At 39.9% G+C, this 15,313-nt stretch overlaps 1 protein-coding gene across 5 annotated transcripts in view, besides 1 other annotated feature; it reads right to left on the bottom strand.

The window, feature by feature from the left end:
* Positions 1–15,313, bottom strand: part of DYNC1I1 (dynein cytoplasmic 1 intermediate chain 1) — a 337,769-nt gene that overhangs the window by 150,058 nt on the left and 172,398 nt on the right. The gene's annotated exons all lie outside the window — the stretch shown is intronic.
* Positions 6,224–6,914: an enhancer, noted in NCBI's record as "eDlx#26 fragment used in the reporter transgene". NCBI's record gives its function as "activates a minimal E1b promoter in the forebrain, neural tube and heart of transgenic zebrafish {active_cell/tissue: forebrain | heart | neural tube}" and the evidence as "EXISTENCE:transgenic organism evidence [ECO:0001131][PMID:22914741]".

Below are 15,313 nucleotides of genomic sequence, written 5' to 3'. Positions count from 1 at the left end.
AGTGGTGGTGTCCGCCTGTAATCCCAGCTACTCGGGAGGCTGAGGCAGTTGAATAGCTTAAACCCAGGAGGCGGAGGTTGCAGTGAGCTGAAATAGCACCACTGCACTCTAGCCTAGGTGACTAGAGCAAAACTCCGTCTCAAAAAAACAAAACAAAAACATTCCAGCATTTTCTCATTTCACAAAAAACATAAAGGCCAAAGTCCCTAGCTTACAATATATGATCTCCTGTGATCTAACCTTTGCCTAGTTTTTTATCCTTACACTGCACAAGTCCGCTTAGGGGAATCTATATTTCAACCATTTAATCTACATGCAATTGCCCCAAGGAGGTAGTGTATTAAAATGGTTAGGAATATCAACTTTGCAGTTGGACTTCCTGGGCTCGGGGATGCTGCTAACTTGGCTAACATGTGTTAAGGACTTACTAGGTGTTAAGCATTGTTCTTCTCAATGATTCTCTCATTGAATTCTTATAATAATATATGAGTAAGTTCTATTAATAGCACCATTTAACAGGTGAGGAAATCAAGGCTTAGCAAAGTTAAATGAGTCCAAGAAAGTTCATGTAGTTGTAAAGAATAGAACCGGTATGTAAACCCAGGTCTAATTTAATTTTACAATTGAAGGTTTTAACTACTCCACCATACTGTCTCATTGTTCTCTTCCCCAAACTAATCTTCTTCCTGGATCCTAACTTTGGGATTGAGAACCAGTCACTGTCATCTAAGCTAGAATCCTGGGATCTGTCAGAAATGTCTCCTCTATGTCAAGTCACCACATTCAATCAGTTTATAGATTTGACCTTCTTAATCTCTGAAAGATTTCCTTCCCCGTTCTCCTCCTTAACCTACTGACATGGCCTTGATTTAGGTCTTTGTCAATTATCACATGAATTACTGCTGCTGCCTCCTAGCTTGCTGGTCTGAACCCTTCCAATGTTGCTGGAAGAAGTTGCTAAAAGGCCCTGTTGTGCCCCTGCTAAAATTCTGCCATTGCATCTCCACTGTGCCTTCAGGCTCAGAACCCAAAGCTTTGCAAGATCTGCCCCTCACTCCCTACCCCAGCCCCACATGACGCCTTCACTCAAGCATTCATAGCCTCTCACAGATCTCCACATTGTGCCACTTCCTTCCTCTGAGCCTTGGTACCCACTGCTCCGTCTACCTGCAGTGCCCTTGATTTTGCTTCTTTATTCACTTAACTCCTATTCATCCTTCAAAGCATAGCTTCAAGTTTACCTCCCCAGAACATTTACCCTGACCCCTCAGTTTGATTTAGCTGCTTCTCCTCTATGTAGACCAGCCCACCCATTTGTCATTTGTATGCCAAATGATAGCATTCGCTATGCTTAAAACTCCTCAAGGGCCATAATCGTGTTTTATTTCTTCCTTCCTGGTCAAATGCCTGGAAAATAGTAGATACTCAATTTCTGCACATGGAATTAACAGACAAGTTCATTAAGGCATATTTTGGGACAGAATCAATGTCAACTTTTTGTCAATGTATTCTGAATATGATTTATCTTCAGATTCTCTACAAGGCAAAAATTTGTCAATTAGCTTAGAAAATTCATGTTTAGAGATACAATTTTTGATTGATTTGTTTAGAACTCAACTGAGTGTCTCAAACAAGTGGGTGCTTAAACATACTTTTTGGTTACAACATAAAGTATACATTTCCTTTTCTTTTCTTTTTTTTTAAGAGATTGGGTCTCACTCTGTCACCCAGGCCAGAGTATAGTGGCATGACCACAGCTCACTGCAGCCTTGATCTCCTGGGCTCAAGCCATCCTTCTTCTTTAGCTTTCCGGGCCAATGTTTTAAAAAAAACATTTGTAGAGACAGAGTCTCACTGTGTTGCCCAGGCTGGTCTTGAACTCTTGACTTCAAATGATCCTCCTGCCTCAGCCTCTTAAAACGCTAGGAGTACACTTGTGAGCTATTGCATCTGGCTGTAAAGCATACCTTTCTTAATCATTTACCTTTCTTAATCATATAATTTTCTTAATCATAGAAGAAAGTTACTAGATTTTTCTGAGAAATAATGGCACATCTAGAATCCTTTGAGAGTCTTTCTATGGTTCTGGTTCTCAACCAGACATTTGGCAATGTTCAATCTGGAGATGTTCTGGTTGTCACATCTGTAGGTGGTTGCTACTGGTATCTCATGGGTAGAGGCCAGAGATGCTGCTAAATATCCTACAATGCACAGGACAGCTCTGGCAGCAAAGGCTTAACCAGCCCAAAATACCAATAATGCCAAGATTAGGAAACTCTGACCTATGACATATAGAACCACTCACTCACTGAAGACATACACCTGCAATTGTGACGAGCTGGATAACACCCAGCCTATACTTTCTCCCAGTGAAGGCTCTCGTGAGTGGTGGTATTTCCTGTGAGTTTAAATGTGGCTTAAAGATCAAAGCCAGAAGGACAAGTTCTGTGATCCTGGGGATGGAGCTCTTCACCCCTTTCAGAGCCTACTCCCGGGTGTGTCCTTTCTTATAAATCCCACAATCAGCAAACACTTTCCTGCTGCAGATGTGCTTCCTGGCTCCGACTGCTCCTCCCAACAAAGGCTTCAGGCTGCAGGAGTCACTTCCCCAATCCTGACATCTCCAGTTCATGCAAGATCATGGGCTGCAAGAGCACCTGCATGTCTATAGGGCCAGAAATTCCTCCTTCTTCTGATGGATGGGAGCCCAATCAAGAACTTCTCAGACAAGACCAAGGGAGTGGGAGCTTCTGGAGGACGAACAACTCTGAAATCCTGCATTGATGAGCAAACAGCAGCAGCAGCAGCAGGAGGAGGAGGAGGGGATAAAGATCTTGGACAATGTATTCATTTTAGGGAGGGGGATATTGACTTTAGGGGCAGTTTTGTGATACAAATAAATGGAGGGTTGGGGTGGGGTGGAGGAAGAAGATTGTTCTGAAATTCACTTTCCAAATGCCAGGTTTACAAAAATGCCACTGATACTGAATTTCTAAGCAGCAACTCACAACTTCCTCTGACAGAGAGATGTCTTACAGAAAGTTCCAATGAGTGCTGGGGAATTTCTGGTAGTAATATTTCACATAAGGAATATTTTAGCCTCATTTCATAGTGAAGTATTTTACAATCATTTATTCATTATATTGCCCCTATTGCAAACCAAGATTATGTTTTTAGAGCTAAGAAATATCAATAATTTGGAATCAGAGTTTCCTGATTATTCAACAAGCCATTGACCAAGCTGAAGTTTAAACTCAGCATGTCCAGGGCTACACAACTACCAGATGAAGCAAAATAATGATGTCAAAGCAGTGATTTGGTATCGTGTTAAATGAACTGAATGATGGACTTGATTATTAACTATGTTTTTAACTGCATCATGTAGTTCCAATAGCCAATTAAATGAAGACACATGCACACGTGTGTTTATTGCAGCACCACTCACAATAGCAAAGACTTGGAACCAACCCAAATGCCCATCAATGATAGACTGGATAAAGGAATTGTGGCACATATACACCATTGAATACTATGCAGCCATAAAAAAGAATGAGTTCATGTCATCTGCAGGGACATGGATGAAGCTGGAAACCATCATTCTTAGCAAACTAACACAGGAACAGAAAACCAAACACTGCATGTTCTCACTCATAAGTGGGAGCTGAACAATGAGAACATATGGACACAGGGAGGGGAACATCACACACTGGGGCCTGTCGGGGGTGGGGGGCAAGAGGAGGGATAGCATTAGGAGAAATAACTAATGTAGATGACCGGTTAATGGGTGCAGCAAACAGCCATGGCACATGTATACCTATGTAACAAACTTGCACATTCTGCACATGTATCCCAGAACTTAAAGTATAATAAAAAAAAAAAAAAAAGAGAAAAAAAGAAGGGTCTTATTGAGCACCTGTTGTGTAAGTCGAGGGAGATAGCAAAGGTGGCTAAGTACAGCCACCTTCTCTGCAGAGCTCTGAGTTTAGTCAGAGAAGCTAGCAAATAAGCACTTAATACTACGTATTATTTATGTAGCAACTCCACATACACGTGCCACATAGCCTCTGGTCTCTGTGGGCTGAGTGCATTGAAATGTGGCCAGGTACCCAGAGAAGAAACTGGAACATGGCTAGGAATACTCCTGTTATAGACTGTCAATCACATCACAGGGAAACCTCTTCTTTGTATGGAGATACAGTAAAGCATAACACTTTTCAATTCAAATACTGTAGTACTCTGCAAGTAGTAGCTACTTTTATAAGCTAAAGCACAAACCTTCCAAACTTAGCCAAGTGTAATAAACAAACACCATGTTACTCTCAGTAACAGGCACCTGTTCCTCCCACTCTGGTCAAAGATCCCTAAGATAAAGAATGTTACATAAAAGTGGAGCCAGATTTATAGGAAAGAGCACCTGGCATTAACATCCTTAACATGCATTAAGAGTGAATGAGAAAACTACTGTAGGCTATGTTCACAGTCATGTCAAGTAATTATACATTTAATATAGCTTTTTCCTGAATTGAGCTTTCGTTCCTTGCACGTAAGCTGGTCCTGTTTGAAATTTTTACGTGAGCTGGTTAATGTGTTTCCGAAAGTGAACATTTTCATACATCTTTGCTTCTCACCTCTCTGTGGTGAAGGGCAAGTTTATTTCTTGTTTTAAATTGCCACCACTTAGGAGGCTGGGTCAGGAGGATTGCTCGAGGCCAGGAGTTTGAAAACCAGCCTGGGCAACACAGCGAGACCCTGTCTCTAAAAATAATAAATAAAATAAATTAAAAATTAAAAATCAGCTAAGTGTGTAGTCCCAGCTAACTCCGGAGAGGTGGGAGAATTGCTTGCACCCAGGAGGTCAAGGCTGCAGCGAGCTACGACTGCATTTTTGTACTCCAGCATGGGTGACAGAGTGGGATCTTGTCTTTAAAAAAAAAAATTCATAAAATAAATCAAAATTTCCAATCTGTTGCAAATTGTTTTAAAAATTATTTTTTAATGGAAAAATGACAAAGTGTGTATTTTTATCGTGGGCAACATGGTATTTTCATACAAGTACATATTGTGGAATGACCAAACCAAGCTAATTCACATATCCATCACCTCACATACTTATCAAAACCAGCATGAATGCCTGGAAGTCACAGCAATGTTAAATCCCTATAAAAATTTGTAAAGGCTTACTCTTGATTTATTTGCTTCACTATAGACTGATAACTAATAGTTTGTGGACTGGACCCATTCCGGGGAGCACATGTTGCATAGCACTGACATATGATATTCAAAAGACATATTAAAAGAAGGCAAAAAAAGTCATTGTCCATATATCTTTTTTTTTTTTTTTTTTTTTTTGAGACAGAGTCTTGCTCTGTTGCCCAGGCTGGAGTGCAGTGGTGCGATCTCGGCTCACTGCAAGCTCCGCCTCCCGGGTTCACGCCATTCTCCTGCCTCAGCCTCCTGAGTAGCTGGGACTACAGGCGCCCGCCACCACGCCTGGCTAATTATTTTGTATTTTTTTAGTAGAGATGGGGTTTCACCGTGTTAGCCAGGATGATCTCAATCTCCTGACCTCGTGATCCGCCTGCCTCAGACTCCCAAAGTCCTGGGATTAAGGCGTGAGCCACCATGCCCGGCCCATTGTCCATACATCTTTAAACAAGAAGACATTTAACATAAAGTCAGAATATTAAAAATGGAAATGTCATTGAGTTTTAGCATTCAGCTTTTATTGCTTATGCCCTTAAATGCCTGATCATTGTAAAAGTGATGAGTGGCCAAAGACCAAGAGATTCTATAAGCACTGTCTACACCAGCACTGCCCAAGAGAACTTTCTGTGTCAATGGAAATGCTCCATGTTGTCCAATACAGTTGCATGAAGCACACGTGGCAACTGGGCACTTGAAGTGAGGCTAGCGTAAACTGAGGACCTGGGTTTGAAATTTTATTTGACCTTAATTGTCTTTAAATAGCCTCATGTGGCCAGTGGCTCCCATACTAGATAGTGTGGATCTAGCTAATTATGATAATAGCAGATTTTTAAATAACCAATTTTTAAAACCAGGTGACATGGGAAGTATTAAAACACGGAATTGCCTGTTTTGAGAATGACAATGCTTTTGAATCCACAAGGCCTATACTCCCTTTTCCCTAATATCCTTCCCTCCCTCAATATCCCGGCCCTACTGCTGCCTTGGAGTTCATGTTTTCTTTCAGCGTTCACAGGGCTGTTTCCAGAGCAGTGAATGACGACCGGAGAGCATGGGAACCCCTTTTCTTTGTAGCAGCCCATATTAATGAGATCTCTGTTTCTCTCAAGACAGTCAGGGCCGTCTGGTCAAAGTGTTGAACCAAGGTGTTTGTGCCTGCATAGAATTAAGTCACAAGTAAAGCACTTATTTCTGACAGCAGATTTATAATAGGAAAATCTCAGCAGGAATGAAGAGTTGGAGACCCCAGCCACAGGCTTTTCACAAACTTTGCCTTGATTTAGTGACTCAAACAACTAGCAAGAACGGCAAACTGCAGAGGTAATCCTATCATCTTTTCTCCAAGCAGCACTGTTCCATCTTCTCGGCTTCCTCACGCTGCTAACATGAATTCAAATCATCTGTGTTTAAAGTTAAACTCAGTGATTGACAGTTCTTTCTAGTTTCAGTCCACAATGAAGATTATTCTAGATATCTATCAGTTATTACTACAAGCGCAGTATGATATTCAATACCTACAGTGAAAATTGTTTTTAACAATGTAATGTCTGATCTGTTTTGAAAGTGATTTTAAAATAAAGAACTAACCATAACCAGGTGGCAAAAATCCAAACACGTTTCATTTTCTTTCTCTCTCTCTCTCTTTCTTTCTTTCCTTCTCTCTCTCTTGATAGGAGAAAGCAAATGCGGAGAGAAATGCTGTTCCACTCACATAAAAAGTTACAACTCAGTTTTTACAGCACCCATTTCTTTTTAAAAAGCCTCATAAAACTGAGTAAGATGCTTACAGTAATTAAAATTTGGGAATTTTATTTCCAAAAGATGCTACAGTTGCTTATAAAAACTGCTGATGCCTTAGAGATTATGAAAATATGTTCTAAAGTGTGAAGGTGTGTGTGAAGGGACACTTGTCTGTTTTATTCTCTGTATATCTTGAGAACTAGAACAGCCAGGTACATACGAGATACAAAAGAAACATTTGCTGAATGAGTCACAAACTAGTTAAGATATGGACCTACCTTTGTAATTCTTTACCATGCAAAATAAAAGCCATTAGCTATTTTGCCCAGCATAATCCTGCTCTATGGTCACCCCTGGACTCTTGAGATCTAGTGAAAGCTGAGCTCTGCTGGACAGGCAGACCCTGAAGGTCTGAGGTGATCAGTCATTCCCTAAGCTCCACTCTGAATGCAGCCACACACTGAAGCAAGTCCAAAAATGAAGAAAGAGACACAGGGCAACACAATGCATAAAAGGACAGAGGAAGGACGAGGCAGAGGGAGCAGGATGGTAAAGTAAAAACATATTGAAGCTTTTTTTTAAGCATATTATGTAGCACCTACAAATTTTATATCTCCATTTAAACAAAAAGGTTTTTGCCTGGTACAGAAATAACATAGCGCTCACTTCAAAATAGACAGACTGTGGGAGGATGGCGTAAAAGCACTGAGCAGGGCCACGTGCACCCTTGGGCTGGTTGAAGATTTCAGTTTAGAACCTCCAGGTCAGGAAGTAAAAAGAGGTTACTTAGGTTTTGCTAGTAAAGTGGGGATAAAAGGGATGGGGAGGGGAGCCGCTGGGGATCCAATCTTAAATCTACGTCTTAGTCTTGATGAGGCACCTCTTGTTGCTGAGTTCCCAGTGGCATTTTCAAGATTTCTGTAATCACTAGTTGTCACTCTTTGCCATTAGTGAAGGGAGTTGCAAAGGGGAGGAAAGTATAAGCTAAAAAAGTCTACCACCTTATGTCAGAAGTGATAAATGCATTAACAGTGACTTGGAACAAATCTGAGAGTCACAAGGATGAAAAGGTTTCATCATGAGGATGAATGGGTAATCTGGGGCGGGAAGGACTGGCTGTAAAACAGACAGAATAAGAAAGCAGGGAAAGGAGAAAATGAAAGAGAGAAAGGAAAAATAAAAGGAAGGTAGAAAATAAGGGAGAAAATGATAGGAAAGATTCTTATTCTCTATGTAAGACTCATTCAGATAGAGCCCAGAGCAAGCACTTCAGAATCAATCAGGCGATCAGAGCCTTATTAAATAAAAAGGTCCTTCTCTGTTTGTGAAGATGGTTTTCTTTTCATCTGCAAATAATGAAACATACATGATTCCGATAGAGATTAAAAGGAATATGTTCCATGAGGCTGTGGAGAACCCCAGAGAAACATATACAGAAAAGAAGCATCAGGACAGGTGCTTCCTGACCTTGACTTGGCTGAGAGTCTGATGAAGTCTCCAAGGTAAGAAGCATGAATGAGCTTACACAAGAAACCACTCAGAAGTGCAGCTCTTCGCTGCATGAATACAACACAGAGAAAATCTGCTGTGTAGGCGTGCAGTCGTCCTCCTTGAAAACAGATGGTGATACCGTCGTGTCATGGAAAATGTTTCTTTCCCATTTCATGAACTAGAGGCATTTGAAAAGCAGCTAAAGCATAAGTTTCAGATAGTGCCATAGAAAAGATATTTTAATCTTAATCTGTAATAGGTTGTATTGGATGTATTGTTTCAAGTGGTAACAGAAAACTATAGGTAATGAAGGAAAGAAAGAAAACTACCTTCTTTCTTTCTTTTTGGGGCCTTCTCAGGTCCCAAAAAACATTCAAAAGCTAAATCCAGAGAAAACTACCCCAAATTAGTCCTGAGTTGGGCCACCCCATGTTTTATCACGACTGTGAGAACATAAGCATGACTGCCTCTCCTGTAGCATATCCCAGGCTTCGTAAATGCTGCCCATGACCTTTTAGGCTGTAAGGGTTTTGTGATGAGGAAGGCCAAAGCTATATTAAGGATGAGATGGACTGAAGTCATATTTTCTTCACCACAGATTTGGGGGTGAGCATAAGGAAGAGAGCTGGAGCCTCGCTGAAGAAATGTCAAATACACTGCTTAAAAAGAAAAATCAATTTCAATTATATCACACAACTTCTGGAACTGGTGCTGTCTGCTGAGGAGAAAATAATGATAATAGTAAAAAGATATTTATGAAAACTTTAATGGTATAATCATTGACACCAAAATACACCTGTCTATTCTATTCGACTCTGTTCCTTCTTGGCTCAGACAATTTCATTTTGAAGTGTTATGAGACTAGTCTCAGGGAGTAAGACTCAAGAAAACAGAGGGATGTTTCCCAATAGCTACAGAATTGCTCACATACCCTAATGTAGAGGTGATTCATAACTTTATTGTGTCATGATTATCCCATGTGTGGCTAATTTTTGTGATCTTTATTGTTGGGTATTTTACCAATATGCTTTTGTTGGTGCTTCTAAGATGATCCTGGCCCCAATTTTCACTTCCATTTTCTGAGTGTGACTGGAGTTGCCCATTTCCCAACTGACCACAGCATTGCTTCCCAATTCTTTCCTTGTCTCTTTGACTCCATCTGATCTACTGACGCTCTGGTTAGGACTCTGAATTCAGTTTTACCGAATTCTGCCATGAGAGTTGCAGATGTCAGAACAGGACAAGGACAAAAGAAATTCAAGATTCATTCATTGCCTTTCTGGCAATATAACTTCTTCTTTATAAAAGACTTAGTGGCACATATTGAACAGACAAATTATAATTAATACACATTTTTCATTGATGATCCCACACTAAAGCCCATTTTTGGTCTAAAGAGGACAAAGTAAATGTGGATGGGTCAATACAAATCCATGAAAGTTCATGGAAAACGCAAGCAAGCAAACAAACAAAAACCACACACCAAATCAACCAAACTGAGCCAAAACAAAACAAAACTTTCAAAACATGCCTGAAGAATGATGATAGTGACATCTTCATATTCAAAGGCTGGCAAGTGTTCATGATTATATGTCACTAGTGCTCTTTCAGTACAAGTCCTTGCAGAAATATGTCTCTCAGGGCACCTGTGTTTTCGCAAGGCTCGTTTTTCACATTTCTTTTATGGGACACTTCTTTCTATAAGAGAAATGTTGAGTTGCCTGGGAGTGTGATAAATATTTACCAAGTAAGGAAAAAGGAAAGAATTCAAAGTGAATACGTCTAAAAATAAAAGATTTCTAATATACCAGTTAAAGCATTTTTTAGGTAAGATTACTGCAAGAAAAAAAAAAAGAAAGATGAGAGATTAATGGAAAACTAAAACTAGCCTAAGGCCCTTTATCAATGCTCAGGCCAAAAGAAAAACTAACCATTGCACTATTTTTGTGGCTTTCTGGAAGACCTCTGTACATCTGGACTTCTACTGTTCAGGTCCACTTTGGTTATGATGGATGTTGCTTTTTAAAGGAGGAGTATTATTTAAATCAGATGAACAACATACATTTCCATCTCTTACATTTACCTGTTAATTACAGTTCCTGGCAGTAGTACAGAACAAAAACAAAACCTCTTAAATCCTCACTGATGAGAGCTCCATGCTGAATGACTTTCATCTCAGCATTTAAAGGAAATCCAGTCAGGCTAGTGAATATGTCACATCTACCAGTTCTAACAATCCCTCAGGATTTACTTTTTCTTTTTCCAACAATTTCAAGAATTTTTCTTGCAGGAAAGCAATTCTTCATTAAAAGCGAGATACTCTGGTGAGCCAGGCTTAAGTTAATGGTCACTGAGAGACAAACATTTAAATGTGCAGTAAATTCACTTTCCCCAAAGATGGGGTTTCCAAGAGGTGAATTACGCATCACTTCCACCCACTCCTGACTGGCCCTGCCCAGGGCAGTAATGGGTCGCTTAGTGCTCCAAGGATGAGTGCACTTGCATGGGGGAAAGTGTAAATTCCAAAAGGGATTTATGTGCACAGAACCAGACCCTGAACTGGATCTCCAGAGCTACATTTTATGACTAAGCATACATACAACTCTTGCTTTTAGCACAAAGTCTTTAACCTTGCCCACACTCTCCTTTTTGTTGACCTTAATTTGATCTACATTCGACCACCCTCCTTAATTTCTCCTTGAAGTCCAATTTTTTCCTAACTTTCATCATCATCGCCATCCCCTCTTGCTTGCCATGGGCCACATCCCCTCCTCTGCAGAGTGAAGTTGCAAAAGCAGAGTAAGATCTGGGACCTGGGAAGACTTGGCCTGGGAAACTTTATGGTCTCAAAGGAAACCTCAGACAAATGTAAATGAAATTACAACATCATCCTATAAACCTGACAAAGACACTGGGTATCTGGATAAAGCTAACTGCCTATCTGCTATTAAAGAATTGCTGAATTGGTTGCTTCACCAACTCCTACTTCTCACAAAATTTCCCCTCAGCACTCCTATTCATTCCACGTGCTCCAGTTTTGCAAAACCTGTAGCTGGGTCAAAGTATGCCCACTTGTTTTGGAAGAATATTAGGAAGTACTTATCTCAAAGAGTTGTTGGGGGAACTAGGTGAGTGAGTACATATAAAGTTCCCACATAATCCTTTATGTAGACTAAGTACTCAATAAATGTTAGCTTTGATATTATTTCTACCTATGTACAGCCCTGGAAGCAGCCCAAGACAAGTTCCTCTGACTTATTTCCTTTCTGTTCTAAGGAATCAAAGGTGTCAACTCAAGAACCAACTAGTAAACCATTGAGGTTAACAAAGCCACTCCCACTGTGCCCACTACTGGATGTGTTCTTGGGACCTCAATAATGCAGCTTGAGTCCATACTGATGATAGATACAAGCATGGGTCTACTCGAGGAAACTGACAAATGTGGACAACCCCTGTCTATTGTACACACTTTCAGGCAGGCCTAGAGTCCCTCCCAGATCTGCAGCTTCAACCTCACTTTCATGTTGTTATCCAGAGAATTCAGTGCCTATCTTTGTCTGGGGTGCTGCCCAAAGCAAGTCTCACATACATGCACATGTCAGCTAAGGCCATCCTGCTCATTAAGATAGGTATACTACTGCCTTGAAACATCCAACGCCCTCGAAACACTTCTGAGGAACTCTAGGAGATGGAGGGATGGTGATGGCTGGTTCCTGCTTCCTTCCTCTGCTAAATTCTTACTCGCCCACTGTTGGTCATGGGGCTTTGCATTGATTTCAGCTCTGTTTACCACAAAATAGAACTTAGCCCCTTTCCTTGGTTGCTACCAAAAAAAAAAAAAAAAAAAAGCCACATACAAAGACCTGGTTTTTGACAGACTTTATTAAAAGTTTGAAAAGATGGAGAGAATTTACAGTGCAACAGGGCAAACTCCTTAAAAATACTTAGTGGCCTTTTCTGTTCTTGAAAGCTTCTCAGCCACATAACCGTGATGCTTGAAAAGGTGTTTTTCACCTCTTTTCTCTCAGCTATTCCTCTCAAGGGCAAACACCCACTCTGATCCTAAATTTCTCCCATTATTTTATGCAGAGCATTTCAGCTGCCTTAGCTCCTTTGCCTGTCTAAGCTTGGAAAAGAGGGAACTGGAGAGATATCAGGGTTTAGAGGAGGGATGGAAAGAAATCTGCCCCACCCCTCACTATGGGTGCATGCATTTCCCATGGGTGGAGTGAGTAACACACATGGAGGAGAGCTGGTCCTGAGCTATCCTGGGCATCTCCCACCCAAAAACCTTCCATTTCTAGGAGAAGGCCTCAGCAGCAGGGGGCTCTGGGTAGACCAATGGTGGCAGGACTCAAGAAAGGTAAGTGGAGGTGGAAACAAGCTTCATAAAGTGGTTCATGAAATGTTTAACACAGGCAGGGGCTGCCTTAGTGTTTTCTGGAACACAATCTGGTAATTACCTTGGGCTTACTGTTCAAAAGGCACATTGCTGTCAAAGAAGAGAGACCATAATGACACATACTAACACACACACCAACATGAGTTCATATTTACAGAAACACTGACGTGAGTAGATATTTACAGAAGAAATGCACCTAAGATTTTCACAGAACACTCACTGCGCTAGGTATTTTGCACACACTATTTTATTAAATCTTCACAAACTGTCCTTCATAGTACTATTATTATCCCCATTTTTACAACAGAGGAAATTGCAACTCAGAGAAGCTAGTTAACTTGAGCTGGCCCTTAAAAATACTAAAATTTCTACCTGTACCAGGGCTTTTGCATCACTTCTGTTTGGATCCATTCCCTCCAGTAATCCAGAACTGTCTTCCTTGTGTTCTCCATGCTTCTGTCCTAACATCAGCAGACCAGGGAGGCCTTTGTATCCATCCTATGCCAGAGAGCACTCTCCTCCCAACCAGCTGTCTGTCTCTTTTACTCCACTCCTTTTCTTCTCTATAGCACACACCACCATCTGTATCTACTTGTCTTCAATTTATTGCATTTCTTCCCCTGTCATTCAACCAAGATATAAGCTCTATCAGGGCAGGGACTGTACCTTGTTCACTATAGTGTTCTTAGCATCTAAGATAGGACTTGGCTCAGGGTATGCACTTACTAGATATTTGTTCAATGCATGAATTAATCAATGAATGAACTGTAAGTGTATGGACTATGACTCTGTTCCACCCAAATTTATTTTAAAATGGTGCCCTCATACTCAATGAATGAGGCTCAGAGCCTAGGTGACTATTGCTTACATGTTTGAACATGTAATGGATTGCAAGTGAAAAGAATCACACCTCTTTCTAGGGTGCTGATGAAGATTTTTGTGGAGGAGGTGGCATTTTTAGAGTTTAGTTATATTTATCTACATGTTTACTTCAGCACCTCATATCATCATGCTTATGTGCTTTTCCAAACACGCTAATTGAAGATTAAACAATCTAAATAGGTAGAAAGAACATCTTTTTGTCTTAAATATCATTCTCTCCATATATATTTTTAATTTTATTTTAAATTCCAGGATACATGTGGAGGATGTGCAGGTTTGTGACATAGGTAATCGTGTCACGGTGGTTTGCTGCACCTATCAAACCATCACCTAGGTATTAAGCCCCACATGCATTAGCTATTTATCCTGATGCTCTCCCTCCCCCTGCCCCCCTGACAGGCCCCAGTGTGTGTTGTTCCCCTCCCTGCATCCATGTGTTCTCATTGTTCAGTTCCCATTTAGAAGTGAGAACATGCGGTATTTGGTATTCTGTTCCTGTGTTAGTTTGGTGAGGATAATGGCTTCCAGCTCCATCCATGTCCCTGCAAAGGACATGATCTTGTTCCTTTTATGGCTGCATAGTATTCCATGGTATCTCTGTACCACATTTTCTTTATTCAGTCTATCATTGATGGGCATTTGGGTTGATTCCATGTCTTTGCTATTGTAAATAGTGCTGCAATGAACATATATGTCCATGTATCTTTATAATAGAATATATCATTCCATATTGTTGATGTGTTAGTGTGTTTTCTTTAAACAGCCACTCTACTAATTCTTCACTAAAAATAACCACAAAATAAACATCCACCTCATTAATCCTCCACTAGAAAAGATATATATACATATATTTTTGCATTATGTGCCAGTTGGGTCATAAAATACCTGATGTTTAATGCTAAAAAAGTGAATGCTGTGAACTGAGTGTTTCAGAAACTTGTCCATTTCCCAAGAGCACTTTTTTTTATAAACAAAGGAAAAACAAAATGAATGCATTATGTGAAGGTTATTCTGAAGTTAATTTATTATATGAGAGAGCTGTTACATATCACTTAGTTCTAAAGGAGTACTTTTTCTCTTTTATCAAGATTTAAGAATCACGACAAATATAAATTTAAACTGAAGGAATATTTATGCAAAATTGGGAATCTTGAGCAGAGATAGAAGATGCTATAAATTTAGTGGAAATGTTTTATTTAGAAGACTTTATTATTAAACTGCTCTTATAATTTACAATAAAATAGAACTCTTTCTAGAGACAGTGAAATAGAAAATAAACATTAGTTTTTATTATAAAATTCTAGGGGCAAGTAATACTTCTTTTTTCCCCCCTCTACCTCCAAATACATACAATTTATTTTACAGTCATCTGTAGAGTGTCTAAAAATACACTACCATAAATGCATCTGATTAACATCACACTATCCTCAAAACATTTGTATTAAAAAATGGTTTTTTATTTTATTTTAATTTTTTTATTATTTTTTTATTTTTATGTTTATTTTATTTTATTTCATTATTATTATACTTTAAGTTTTAGGGTACATGTGCACAATGTGCAGGTTAGTTACATATGTATACATGTGCCATGCT

This window comes from Homo sapiens, chromosome 7 (genome assembly GCF_000001405.40).
Source record: "Homo sapiens chromosome 7, GRCh38.p14 Primary Assembly".
Lineage (NCBI taxonomy): Eukaryota > Metazoa > Chordata > Mammalia > Primates > Hominidae > Homo > Homo sapiens.
This window is presented reverse-complemented; position numbering and strand designations above follow the sequence as displayed.